Here is a 13,834-nt window from a genome sequence, read left to right on the forward strand (position 1 = left end):
ATCTCGGCTCACTGCAACCTCTGACTCCCGGGTTCAAGCAATTATCCAGCCTCAGCCTCCCGAGTAGCTGGGATTACAGGCCATCATGCCCAGCTAATTTTTGTATTTTTAGTAGAGACAGGGTTTCACCATGTTGGCCAGGCTGGTCTGAAACTCCTGACCTCGTGATCCCCTCACCTCGGCCTCCCAAAGTGCTGGGATTACAGGCGTGAGCCACCGTGCCCAGCCCATTTCTAATATACATAATACGTGTGGGTATTTGTTTACGTGGGGGTTATAGGCTATTGAGAAGAGAGGGATAAACTGGGTTGGAGTGTGGAATGTGCTGGGAGATACTGAGAAAGTACTTCTTGAATCAGCCTGAAGACCAAGCTGGCTTTAGATGGTCTGGGAGGAGAGAGGAATCCCAGAGAGATGGGAGAACCCAGCCTACTCTGATGTAGGGGACATAGCCTTAACATCTTCCTGCCACAAAGGCGCTGCCACCAATAACAATTCCACCTTGTTAAATAAGAAATAGGCCAGGTGCAGTGGCTCACGCCTGTAATCCCAGCACTTTTGGAGGCAGAGGTGGCCAGATCAGGAGTTCGAGAAGGCAGGAGTTCGAGACCAGCTGGGCCAAATAATCAAGGGTGCCTGTCTCTACAAAAAAAAATAGAAAAATTAGCTGGGCGTGGTAACCCACGCCTGTAATCCCAGCTACTCTGGACGCTGAGGCAGGAGAATCACTTGAACCCAGGAGGCGGAGGTTGTAGTGAGCCGAGATTGCACCACTGTACTCCAGCCTGGGCAACAGAGCTAAACTCTGTCTCAAGATAGATAGATAGATAGATAGATAGATAGATAGATAGATAGATAGATAGATAGATAATAGAACAAATAATAAGAATGGCTTACCTAATGTAGGGCTGAAGACTGTGTTTATTAGCTCATTTCATCCTCAAAACATGCCATGAGGTAGTAGTCCACTTTCATCCCCATTCTGCAGAGGAAGAAACTGAAGCTCAGAGAGCTTAAATAACTTGCCCAAGATCATGTAGCTAGTGAGCAGCAAAACGGGGCCTCAAACCTCAGCAGTTTTGCTCCAGACCCAGGGCTCTTAACTGCTGTAATAAATTTCCACTGGTTAATCAGTGATACATTTTTCACTCTACTTAACATTTTCCCACCACCTAGCCAAATCCCCAGCCAATTGAACGGAAATCTCTTAGGAAAGGTAAACTTATTTTAAATTAGCTAAAGTTAATACTAAACCAATAGAACTTTATCTGGATTAGTCACAGAGTAATGATTTTTAACCTTAGGGGTCAGGGTCTCCCTTCAAAAATCTGACAGTAAATAGGGCCTCTCTCCCTAGGAAGATATACATCGCCACTCCTAAAAACGTGTGCACAGAATTTCAGGGATTCCCTGATGCCCAGGGAGGAACCCTAAGTTATCACCTCTCGACCTCACACTTCCCAAAGCCAGATAAAGCTCCTCCATGTGTAAATAGTCTGGGGGTCACACTGGGGACCCAGACTCCCCCTCCCCAGCCCCCGCCCCATTAGCACAAATAATCAAGTGTGCTGGGGTGGGAAACTGTTCTGCCCACACACATACTCAAATTACAGACTTTCCCTTCAGCTGTGTGTGTTTTATTGAATGAGCACTTGAGTTCTTGGTGAGCCTGTCGTCTGGGGATGCCAAAGCTTTCCTACTGCTAAGGTAGAGCAGGAGCGGGCTGTGGGCGGGCCCTGCTGGAGAAAGCCTTCGCGACCAGCTGGTATTGCTGCTGAGAAGCCACTTCCAGCCTAACAGCCCAGAAAAAGCTAGAATTAACCTAACCCAGGTCCCATCCTGAAACAGCTCTGTCCCATGTGTTGGTGGAAGCCGAAAGCATAGTAAATAGTCTTTGAGTCTCTAGGGGTGGCAACTTGTGGGAAGGCAAATAATTGGCAGATAAAGGCTGGTTAGGAGAGCTCCTTGGTGTAGATTTCCTCCAGTATCACCTCCAGGCCCAAACGGTCCAATGCTGTCTTTAGTAGTTAACCTTTGTTCTCCCTGGTAGAAGAGGAGGCCAGGATATCTTTTGTCTCTGGAAATCTATGTCCTGCTTTTAGGCAAATAGAGGGAGGGCAGAGAGCTTTCTCCATCTCCTTCTTAATTGTCTTCAGCTCGACAATCCTTCATATTTACGGGAAGCATATTCTGGTCTCCTACATGTGCATGTGTAAATAAATGACACTTGGCAAATATTAGCCAGTCCTGAATTTAGGTGAGGGTGGGTGCATGGATAGGTATGTATTCTACCACATGTTTAAATATCTTCATAAGAAGTTAGAAAAAGAAGACATTGAGGGAAAGCTCAGAGGAACATGTACCCACATGTGCCAGAAAGGAAGCCGGCAAGCTACCCTGGCCACACCAGGGTGAACAGAATAAACTTGTTATGGGCTAAACTGTGTCTTCCCATAAATTCATATGTTGAAGTCCTAACCCCCACTATCTCAGAATGTAACCATATTTGGGGATGGGGTTCCGTAAAATGGTAATTAAGTTAAAATGATGTTATTTGGGTGGGGCCTAATTTAACATGACTAGGGTCCTCATAAGAAGAGGAAATTTGGGCTGGGTGCGGTGGCTCATGCCTATAATCCCAGCACTTTGGGAGGCCGAGGTGGGTGGATCACCTGAGGTCAGGAGTTCAAGACCAGCCTGGCCAACATGGTGAAACCCCATCTCTGCTAAAAATACAAAAATTAGCAGAGCATGGTGGCAGGTGCCTGTAATCTTAGCTACTTGGGAGACTGAGGCAGGAGAATCTCTTGAACCCGAGAGGCAGAGTTTGCAGTAAGCTGAGATCGTGTCACTGCTCTCCAGTCTGGGCAACAGAGCAAGACTGTCTGGAAAAAAAAAAGAAGAAGAAGAAGAAGAAATTTGGACACAAACACACATATGGGGGAAGGTGATGTGAAGACACAGGGAGAAAACAGCCAAGGAGGGAGGCCTACAAGCCAAGGAGGGAGGCCTGGAACGGATCCTTCCTCATAGATCTCAGAAGAAACCAACCCTGCTGACACCTTGATCTTAAACTTCTAGCCTCCGCAACAGTGAGAAAATAAATTTCTGTTGTTTAAGCCACCCAGTCGGTGGTTCTTTGTTAAGGCAGCCCAAGTGACTTACTCAGTTCGGCTGCTATAACCAAATTTCTTAGATTGGGCAATTTATAAACAACAGAAAGTTATTTTTCACAGTTCTGGAGCCGGAAAGTCCAAGATCAAGGCTCCAGCAAAGTTGATGTCTGGTGAGGGCTGCTGTCTGCTTCACCGATGGCGCCTTGTGTCACTTCGTCACATGGTGGAAGGGTCAGAAGGGCACTCCCCCCAACTTCTTTTATAAATGGATTAATGGCATTCCTGTGGGCAGATCCCTCATGACTTAATCACTTCCCAGAAGGCCCACCTGGTAATACTATCACATCGGGTATTAGCTTTCAACATATTGGAACATATTGAAATTTTAGGGAGATACCAACATTCAGATCAGAGCACCTAGCAAACTTATACAGAGTTCCTTTTGATTTGCCATGCAAGTGCAGGGGTGTTTTTCCATACCCCCAACCAGTGATGTCTCCTTGAAACTCCACTCTGGTAACTTGCAGATTCCACATTGGGTGGAGCATGACAGGAAGGTCCACCCAACTCTGGGCCTTGAGAACAGAGCTTTGCTTGTCTGAAAGCAGTTGCCCTCTGGCTGGTGGTGCACATGTGTTTCTGGGCTCCAGAGTACTGCACATCTGAACAGTTGGAATCCAAGTCTGACCCATGTTGGTCCTGTACTTTTCCTAAGTGCTTGCTTGTTTTTCTTTCTTTAAGGTTAAGAATGAAGGCCCGGCGCAGTGGCTCACACCAAAAATCCCAGCACTTTGGGAGGCCAAGGCAGGTGGATCACATGAGGTCAGGAGTTCAAGACCATCCTGGCCAACATGGTGAAACTCTGTCTCTACTAAAAATACAAAAATTAGCTGGGCATGGTGATGTGCACCTGTAATCCAAGCTACTCGGGAGGCTGAGGCAGAAGAATCGCTTGAACCTGGGTGGCAGAGGTTGCAGTAAGCAGAGATCGCACCATTGCACTTCAGCCTGGGCAACAGAGTGAGACTGTCTCAAGAATAAATTAAATAAATAAATAAGAATGGAGGTATATGTGTGCGTGTTGGGGAAGAGGGAATCTAGCTATAAAAGCCCTATAGCTAATCTTTATACTAATTAACCATTAATATTTACTAATACTTAGAACTACAGTTACTATTTACATAGTATACAGCCATAGCTTATTATTAAAATATTTAAATAATTTCATAGTTGATTATAAATAGCATCACCCCTCTTCCTCACCCAATGCCTCTCTGGAAACTCCCCACAGCCCAGCAGCTAATCGGTTAATGCTGGCACTGAAGTGTTCTCCAGAACCTGCTCCAGCACAATCTTGACCTCCAATCTACAAAGAAGGAGCTTCCTCTGCCCTTACTGGTTGTTACATGTTTTTCAAGTTCATCCCTGCTTGGTATGTTCCCAGCACTGCCCTCTCAATTCTTTATGCTACATTATCTCACAGCAACCTGGAAACATACACTATGAGTATTTCCTTTTGCCTATAAAGAAACTGTGGCTCAGAGCAGCTAGAAGGAGGCAGAGTTCTTAATCACCACTGCTCCCTATTTTCCAGCTGTGCCCCCTGAAATTGGTATGTGAGAATTCTTTTATTCTCAGAAGAGCAGCCAAGAAGAGTTGAGAGGCTACAGCCCCAGAGTGCTGGGAAGGCTGGGTGTTCTCAGGCCTCTCCTTTTCTCCAGGTAAGATCTCCCCACACTGGCTGAGTGCAGTGGCTCACACCTGTAATCCCAGCACGTTGGGAGGCCAAGGCGGGTGGATCACTTGAGGCCAGGAGTTCAAGACCAGCCTGGCCAACATGGTGAAACCCTGTCTCTACTAAAAATACAAAAATTAGCAAGACTTGGTGGCACATGCCTGTAATCCCAGCTACTAGGGAGGCTGAGGCAGGAGGATCACTTGAACCCAGGAGACGGAGGTTGCAGTGAGCAGAGATTGCACTACTGTACTCCAACCTGGGCAACAGAGTGAGGCTTTGTCTCAAAAAAAAGCTCTCCCCATACTGAGAGAGGTCCCAGGTCACAGTAAAAACAAACGACAAAGAGTCCTGCAGGCAAACAGTTTTCTTTTCTTTTCTTTTTTTTTTTTTTGAGACAGAGTCTCACTCTATCACCGAGGCTGGAGTGCAATGGCACAATCTCCGCCCACTGCAACCTACACTTCCCAGGTTCAAGCGATTTTCCTGCCTCAGCCTCCTGAGTAGCTGGAATTACAGGTGCACACCACCACACTCAGCTAATTTTTGTATTTTTAGTAGAGATGGGGTTTCACCATGTTGGTCAGGCTGGTCTCGAACTCCTGACCTTGTAATCTGCCCACCTCAGCCTCCCAAGGCAAACAGTTTTCTAAAGCTGCACAATGGTTCTGAGCTCCTCACTGCAGGAATTTTGGGAACTCAAGAGGACCCCTCACTGGCATCGTTGTACCCCTCGGAGGGCACAGGACTGCTGAGAAGGGGGGCATGACCCACTTCAACCTTTGAAAGCCATGGCAAAAGTCTGCATCGCTGTCTGCTGGAACACCTGGACACTCTCCTGGCTCCCACCCAGGCCCTGATTGTTTTGTTGTAGGAACCCTACAGGCAAGTCCCTAACAATGCTCTGCCAACTTAGTGGACACTCGCCCAGACTGTGCGTGCAGGGAGGCCCACCTCCTTTCACCCTTGCCCTGCCTCCTGATTTCCTGGTGACCTTCTAACTCTGCTTGGGCCTTTCCCATGGCACTTAACCCCTGTGTGACCTGAAGACTCTATAACCCTAAAAACCAGTCCTGCTCACCAGCTGGCCTGGGTACAATAGCACTTGGAAAGCAAAGTCATGGGACTGAAACCAGAAGAAAACCTATTCATTAGAGGAGCAGCTGGCAGCTGGAAAACAGAAGGAGAGAGAAAGGAAGGCCAGTTCCTACCTCCTGTAGGACCGATTAACCAGGGATTTCAGAGCCAGTCACTCAGCCTGCCTAAGGCCCCCTAGGCCCCTCTCCTAATGAAAGCAGTGATGCTTATCATATCTCCCACATCCTTCCCAGCAGGGCTCAGAAGGGCAATCCCGCTGACAGGAGCTTTGAGATGGAAAGCAGTGGAGGGAGCGCAGGGGGTAGGGGGTGGGTTGGTGGGGGTTGGTGGGTGGGACCCAGGCTCTGACTTTGACAGTCAAGAGTATTCTTCGTCTAATTCCTCTCTCCAATTAAACATCAAAGAAATATTTCCAAGGGCATATGTTATTATTAAATAATGTTATCCTTTGAAAAAATTTACAAGTAATATATTTTCACTGAAGAAAAAAGTAGAAAATAAAAAGATGACAGAAAAGTCACCTATAATTAGGAGCCACTTTCAACATTTAGAATTCATTTGCTTTTCACACACGAAAAAAACGAGACGATACTGTACGTATGCACAACAAAAGATCATGAAGCCAAGCACAACAGCTCACGCCTGTAGTCCCAGCTACTCAGGAGGCTGAGGTGGGAGGATCACTTGAGCCCAGGAGTTTGATGTTACAGTGAGCTATGATTGTGTCACTGCACTCCAGCCTGGGTGACAGAGTTAGACCCTGTCTCTAAAAACAAAACAACAGTAGATCATGAACATCGTTCCATGTCAATAAATCCACTTCCTCCACACCCTTCTTAATGGTTGCAGTATATTTCATCGCGTATTTAAAAGGTGATGGAGTCAGTCAGTCCCCTACTGTTATGTGTTTAGATTCTTTGTGAGGGAATTTAAATTCTTTTATGAAGGGACAGACTGAGACTAGAGGAGATGATATCCCAGCCTGTTCAATAGTTCTCTCCCCATCATCCGCACCCACTCACCCACCATCTCACTCACCCACCAGCTCACTCCAACCTGGCTACTCTGCATTTCCATCTATTATGTTCCCTTAGACTCAACCTCAGGAAGTTTTCAGATGTGTTCCTGTGTCAGCCCTGTCCATAAACGTGTTATAGGGACCACAACATCATCTCTTATTTGGGCTTCCCCCTTTCAGCCCTCAGAGACAACAACTACAGCTGAGGCAAAACAAGTGGCTTCAGCTAGATCTTGTTTCCAGCATCATGTATTTTATTAGTGGAAGGTGACTTCCCAATTACACTGTTGGCACCACACACACACAAAACACACACCCATTAGTGTCCTGCTGGATTAGACAAGGGGCCTTCAAACTGGCTTGCAGGTAGTTAAAACACTCCTGCAGTGAGAGTGGGCTGAGGCAGGGTTGGGAAGCAAGAGATGAGATGAGAAATGATCCAAATAGATGAACACACACACACACACACACACATACACACATGCATACATGCACACATATACATGCATATACACACATGCACACATGCACACATACACATGCATACACGCACACATGCACACACATACATGCATACATACACGTACCCACACATACATGCATGCATACACACACGCATACACACAGGCATATACACGCACACATGCACATGCACACATATACACATACACGCATACATACACATACACACATGTACACACATACACATGCATACACATACACACAAACATGCATACATACACATACACACACATACACATACACACATACACACACGCATACACACATGCCTACGCACACGTACATACACATTCACACATACACATACACATACCCGCATACACATACACACACACACACATTCACACAGGTGTGCTCCAGAGCCTCTCCACATAGGAGACGAAAAGCTTTCATAAGGAACCAAAAGTTGTATCTTCTGCATTTCAAAGGGAGAAATACCAGGACCTGTGAACTGAATGCAAGTATCTATTTTGCCCCATTTGACACTACGTCCAGTGTCAAAGGTGTCCTGGGGGTGCTGACCCAGCACTGGACTGAAATGAAGTTGCAGATGTATATTACTACATGTTTCTCATCACCTCCTCCTCCTTAGTCTCGTGAAAGGGATATAACTTTAAGGCCCTTCCCTTTCTCATTTCCTCATTGTGACATCAAGAACACCCTTGAGACCATACTGTGCCTTTAAATGATTAAATGCGTTTAATTTAAATGATACAGCTTCCAAGGGAAAAAGGAACAAGGGGCAAGGGGAGGGGAAGGGGAGAGGTCACTCCTGCTTTCGGCAATTGAAGGGACTGACTGCCAGCCTCTCCCCTCCGCAGGGAGTGTTCCAGCAGCCACGCCCCTGACTCACCTGCCTCATTCTCTTAATGGTACCCACCCTCTCCAAATCTCTTAATGGTACCCACCCTCTCCAAATTGCCCAGACTGGGAAACCTGAAACCATCTTTGTCTTCTCTTTCTTTTTCCCCTCATTCCTAAACATCTATTTCGTTGTCAAGTTCTGTGGGATTTTTCTTTTTCTTTTCTTTTTTTTTTTTTTTTTTGAGACACAGTCTTGCTCTTTTGCCCAGGCTGGAGCATGATGGCACAATCTCGACTCACTACAACCTCCCTCCTCCTCCCCAGTTCAAGTGATTCTCATGGCTCAGCCTCCCGAGTAGCTGGGATTACAGGAGCGTGCCACCACGCCCAGCTAATTTTTGTATTTTTAGTAGAGACGGGGTTTCACCATGGTGGCCAGGCTGGTCTCCAACTCCTAACCTCAAGTGATCCGCCCACCTCGGCCTCCCAAAGTGCTGGGATTACAGGTGTGAGCCACCGCACCCAGCCTTGGGTTCTTTCTTTTCAAACACTTTCCCACACCCCCATTCCTCCCTTTCCATTTCCATAGCAACTACCCTGAGGCCTTTACCTCTCACATTTGAACTGTCAGAGCCTCCTGTTTACACTTTCCCACCCACCTTCTCCTTAATTCCTCCTAGCCCATTCTTACCAATGGGATTCATATCCTTGACAGATGATTTGCTTTGTTGCCCTCCTACTACAAAACTCTCAAGGGATGCCCTTTGCCTATCAAAGGCCACTTCTTTGGCCTGGCAGGAAAAGCCATCACATCATTTGGCTGTGTCCTGCTCTCCTACCCTTTTCTCACCCTGGCTGCTTCTGTCCACCTCCCAGACATTCAAGTGATTTAGTCTTCCGTGGAATGCCCGCCTGTCCCTGGAATTCTACACCTGGAATGCCCAGCCATTCTCATCTTTACTTTTGGAATCAGAAGGACTATTCAAAGCAAATCTCCATAAATCTGTCACTTATCTTGCAACCACAAGAAAGCACTCTCTCGACTATATCTTTGTTCTTTGTACCTTTCACCCTGTATTTTATTATCTGGTTAAAGTGCTATTGGAGCCGGGCACGGTGGCTCACACCTGTTATCCCAGAACTTTGGGAGGCAAAGGCGGGTGGATCACTAGGTCAGGAGTTCAAGACCAGCCTGGCCAAGATGGTGAAACCCCGCCTCTACAAAAAATACAAAAATTAGCCAGGTGTGTTGGCGGGTGCCTGTAATCCCAGCTACTCAGGAGGCTGAGGCAGAGGATTGCTTGAACCCAGGAGGCGGAGGTTGCAGTGAGCCAAGATTGTGCTACTGCACTCCGGCCTGGGCAACAGAGCGAGACTCCGTCTCAAAAAAAAAGAAAAGAAAAGAAAAGAAAAGTCCTATTGGATTACAATTCCTAGGGCACAAAGGCTGAGTTTTGTTGGTCACTGTACTGCCTGTAGCTCCAGAAAATTCTGAATTTATGTGAGCTCCACTAAGCAATTATTTCTATCAAATACTACTAGCCCAGAAGCCTCAGAAGTTCACCCACTTCCTGAATTCCCAGTGATGACAGAGTGGACATTTACCCTTGCAGAAGGAGGCTAGACTGTTGTCATAGGTAGAATTATGACCCCAGCAAAATTCTGTGTTAAAGTCTTAACCCCTAGTACCTCAGCATATGACATCTAGAGGCCAAGGAAAAAGTTCCCTTTTGCCCTCTCAAGTTTCACTGACAACTCAACTCATTGAAAGGCAGGTTAACTGGAGAAAAGCAACACACATTTATTTAACATGTATGCACAGGAGTCATCACAATGAAGACCCAAAGATGCAGGGGAAATTGTCCATTTTTATGCTTAGTTTAATAAAGTATGGACAACCGTGTAGAAATATGATTGGACCTAAAGGGGATCTACTGCTAATAGACTGAGGGGGGAAACCCAGCAAGGCCTCTCTGTCTAGATTCTTCTTGGCCTCCCTGAGCCGGCATTCCTTCTGGGTGTGGGGCAGGACTCTCCCTGGAATGGGGGTCTTATGACTATAATCAAGCAAGGTAGGTCAGATAATTTCTTTCATTTTTTCTTTTTTTGAGACAGGGTCTCATTCTCTCACCCAGGCTGGAGTACAGTGGTGCAATCTCGGCTCACTATAACCTCCACCTGGAATTGGTTGCTTCTGAGGCCTTCATTTTGGGTTGCTGTTTTCTGAGCCCTGACATACCTTATTCGGAGATGAGATCTTTACCAAGGTAATTAGGTTAAAATGAGGAGCAACCAAAGTTCTTCTCTGAATCCCATCTCTAATCCAATTTGACTGATGTTTTTATAAAAAGGGAACATTTGGACAGAAACCAACATGGATGGAGAGAAGATGATGTGAAGACACAAAAGGAAGGTTGTCTACAAGCTAAGGAGTGCAGGAGGCTACCAGAAGCTAGAGAGAGGTCTCCAATAGATGCTTCCTCACAGATCTCAGAAGGAATCAGCCCTGCCAAAGACGTGACTTTCAGACTTCTAGCCTCCAGAGCTACAAGACAATATACTTCTGTTGTTCTAAGCCACCTAGTTTGTGGTGCTTTGGTAAGGCAGCCACAGCATACTACACAGCTGGAGTCCTGAGAAGCCAGAGGGCCTCCAAAGTGAACCCCATCTCAGGGCTGGGGCCACAGGTCCTGGGAGGGCAAAGGTAAGGCTCTGAGATGCCCTGAGCAGAAGAACAGAGGCACTTACGGCTCCAATGAGCCAAGCGGAATGGCTGGTCAGCCACACAGGGCGTGGGCCAGTAGTTGGTCCACCTGACACAGGCCTTTGAAGACAGCGTTTTGTTTCTGCAAGTGGGCAGGGGAGGGTGGCATGGAGACAGGGGCAGGAAACTCTGCTGAAGGGCAGACCGTTCTTCCAGGCCCCAGGTGCTTCCGGCCAGACTCTTTTAAAGAGACATGGAAGGACATCATCAAACGTGGCAGCGTAGCCAAGCTCTGCCCTGGAAACCCCTCTCTAGTTACTGCTTTCCACTGAAGCTTCTGGTGCCTGCTGCCTCCTCAGTGGGAGGGACCAGTGATGTGAAAATCCTTTTCCTCCTGACTCAAAGGAGCATTTCCTGAACCCTCCTTACTCAAAACATGTCCACTTGCCCCCCGGAGCCCCAACAGACATGCTAATTCTATTGGGATTTATTTGATAGAATTGGATTAGCTAACAGTGTCAGGGTTCCCAATGAGCAGACAGGAAAACTAAGGCAGGGCCAAGGGGCCCAGCGTCCATGTAACAGTAACTACCATGGTAATAGGGAACACTATGAGCCAGGCCTTGCTCTAAGGCTGCGCTGCCCATTATGGCAACCACTGGCCACGTGTAGTTACTGGACACTTGAATGTGGCTAGTCCAAACTGAGTTATGTAGTAAATGTAAAAATACACACTGAAATTTAAGGACTTAGTATGAAAAAAGAATATTAAAATATCATTAATTTTTTTTAACTTTTATTTTAGGTTCAGAGGTATGTGCGCAGGTTTGTTATATAGGTAAACTCGTGTCATGGGGGTTTGTCGTACAGATTATTTTGTCACCCAGGTATTAAGCCCAGTACCCAATAGTTATTTTTTTCTGCTCCTTTCTCTCCTCCCACCCTTCATTCTGAAGTAGGCACCATTGTCTGTTGTTCCCTTCTTTGTGTCCATGAGTTCTCATCATTTAGCTCCCACTTATAAGTGAGAATATTCGGTATTTGGTTTTCTGTTCCTGCATTAGTTTCCTAAGGATTATGGCCTCCAGCTCCACCATGTTCCCACAAGAGACATGATCTTGTTCTTTTTTATGGCTGCATAGTATTCCATGGAATATATGTACCACATTTTCTTTTTCCAGTGTATCATTGATGGGCATTTAGGTTGATGCCATGTATTGCTATTGTGAATAGTGCTGCAAATTCTCGTTAATATTTTAGAAATATTGATTACGGGCTGGGCGCGGTGGCTCACACCACTGGTAATCCCAGCACTTTGGGAGGCCGAGGTGGGTGCATCACCTGAGGTCAGGAGTTCAAGACCAGCCGGGCTCACCTGGAGAAACCCCATCTCTACTAAAAATACAAAATTAGCCGGGCGTGGTGGCACATGCCTGTAATCCCAGCTACTTGGGAAGGCTGAGGCAGGAGAATCGCTTGAACCTGGGAGGCGGAGGTTGTGGTGAGCCGAGATCGCGCCGTTGCACTCCAGCCTGGGCAACAAGAGCAAAACTCCGTCTCAAAAAAAAAAAAAAAAAAGAAAGAAATATTGATTACATGTTAAATGGATACTATTTATATTGTGTTGTATTATTAAAATTAATTTTACTTTTCTTTTTACCTCTTATAATATAGTAGCCACTAGAAAATTTTAAACTTTAAGTTACATGTCTGACATTTATATTTCTCTTGGAAATGTCAGGGAGCAAAAACTTTCCCTCGACCGACTTAGCTTTAATCACTGGGAGCCTGCAAATTAAACTGACAAGCTGGGTGTGATGGCTCATGCCTATAATCCCAGCACTTTGTGAGGCCGAGGAAGGAGGATCGCTTGAGCTCAGGAGTTCAAGACCAGTCTGTGCAACATGGTAAGATCCTATTTATACACACACACACACAATTAGCTGAAAAAAAAATTGGCATGGTGGTGGTGGGAGGATTGCTTGAGCCCAGGAGGTTGAGGCTGCAGTGAGCAGTGATCGTGCCACTGCGCTCCAGCTTGGGTGACAGAGCAAGATCCTGTCTCAAAAATAAATAAATAAACAAACTGACAAAAGACAGATTACCAAGAGGAAAAAATATATATTTAATTACTTACTTATGCAAAGGAGTTCACAAAGAACTGTGATTCAAAGAGGCCAATAGAATTTGGGGGCTTATATATTACCATCTAACAGGGGATGGGGAGAGGCAGATGGACATTTTTGAGAGAACAAATGACTTCTTAGAAAGTGGGTGAAGGACAGCACTTAGGGAAAAACAAATTACTCTTTGGAAAGATACATGGGCCCTTAGCAACATAGATGGAAGATATGATACTTTTGTGACAAATGTCTGCTTGGATATGGTGCCAACCTTCTTTGCCTAGCAGAGATTAGGGGAGGTGATTTACAACAGTTGAGTTCTTTGGGGAGGCTCTGTTTTTAGGCAGATAAGGGATTTTAGAAACTCAAATGCCTTCAGCTCAAAATAATTCTTAAGCCACAGTGGTTTATCCTAGATGCTTTCAGGTGGCCCTATTCCAAGCACAGCATCTGAACTCTTAGCGCAACCTGCAGGGTGATGTTATTCTCATTTCTATTTTAGAGACAGCACTCAGTCCTTAGATGTTAAGAAACTTGCCCAAGGTCACACAGCTGGTAGAAAGAGAAAACCAAGGGAGTGCAAAAGTAGCAGCAGAGAAATCTGTAAGGTGGTGAGCAATGAGGGTGGCCTGGAGTAGGGAGCAGCAGTGAGTCAAAAAGATGAGGTTTGATATATATTTTTTAGGTGGAAGTACTTGTGGTGGTATGTGTGAG

General features: G+C 46.0%; 1 long non-coding RNA gene across 1 annotated transcript in view, besides 1 other annotated feature; it reads right to left on the minus strand.

The window, feature by feature from the left end:
• The window catches only part of LHFPL3-AS2 (LHFPL3 antisense RNA 2), a 32,018-nt gene extending 30,928 nt beyond the window's left edge, over nucleotides 1-1,090 (minus strand). The window contains exon 1 of the long non-coding RNA NR_027374.1: nucleotides 898-1,090. This is a non-coding gene — a long non-coding RNA (LHFPL3 antisense RNA 2). The remainder of the gene's footprint in view (nucleotides 1-897) is intronic.
• Nucleotides 9,492-9,656: a silencer, noted in NCBI's record as "fragment chr7:104575494-104575658 (GRCh37/hg19 assembly coordinates)". NCBI's record gives its function as "represses an EF-1alpha promoter that drives an FKBP-Casp9 reporter gene in an ReSE screen in K562 erythroleukemia cells {active_cell/tissue: K562}" and the evidence as "EXISTENCE:reporter gene assay evidence [ECO:0000049][PMID:32094911]".

Source organism: Homo sapiens, chromosome 7 (genome assembly GCF_000001405.40).
Source record: "Homo sapiens chromosome 7, GRCh38.p14 Primary Assembly".
NCBI classification, from domain to species: Eukaryota; Metazoa; Chordata; class Mammalia; order Primates; family Hominidae; genus Homo; species Homo sapiens.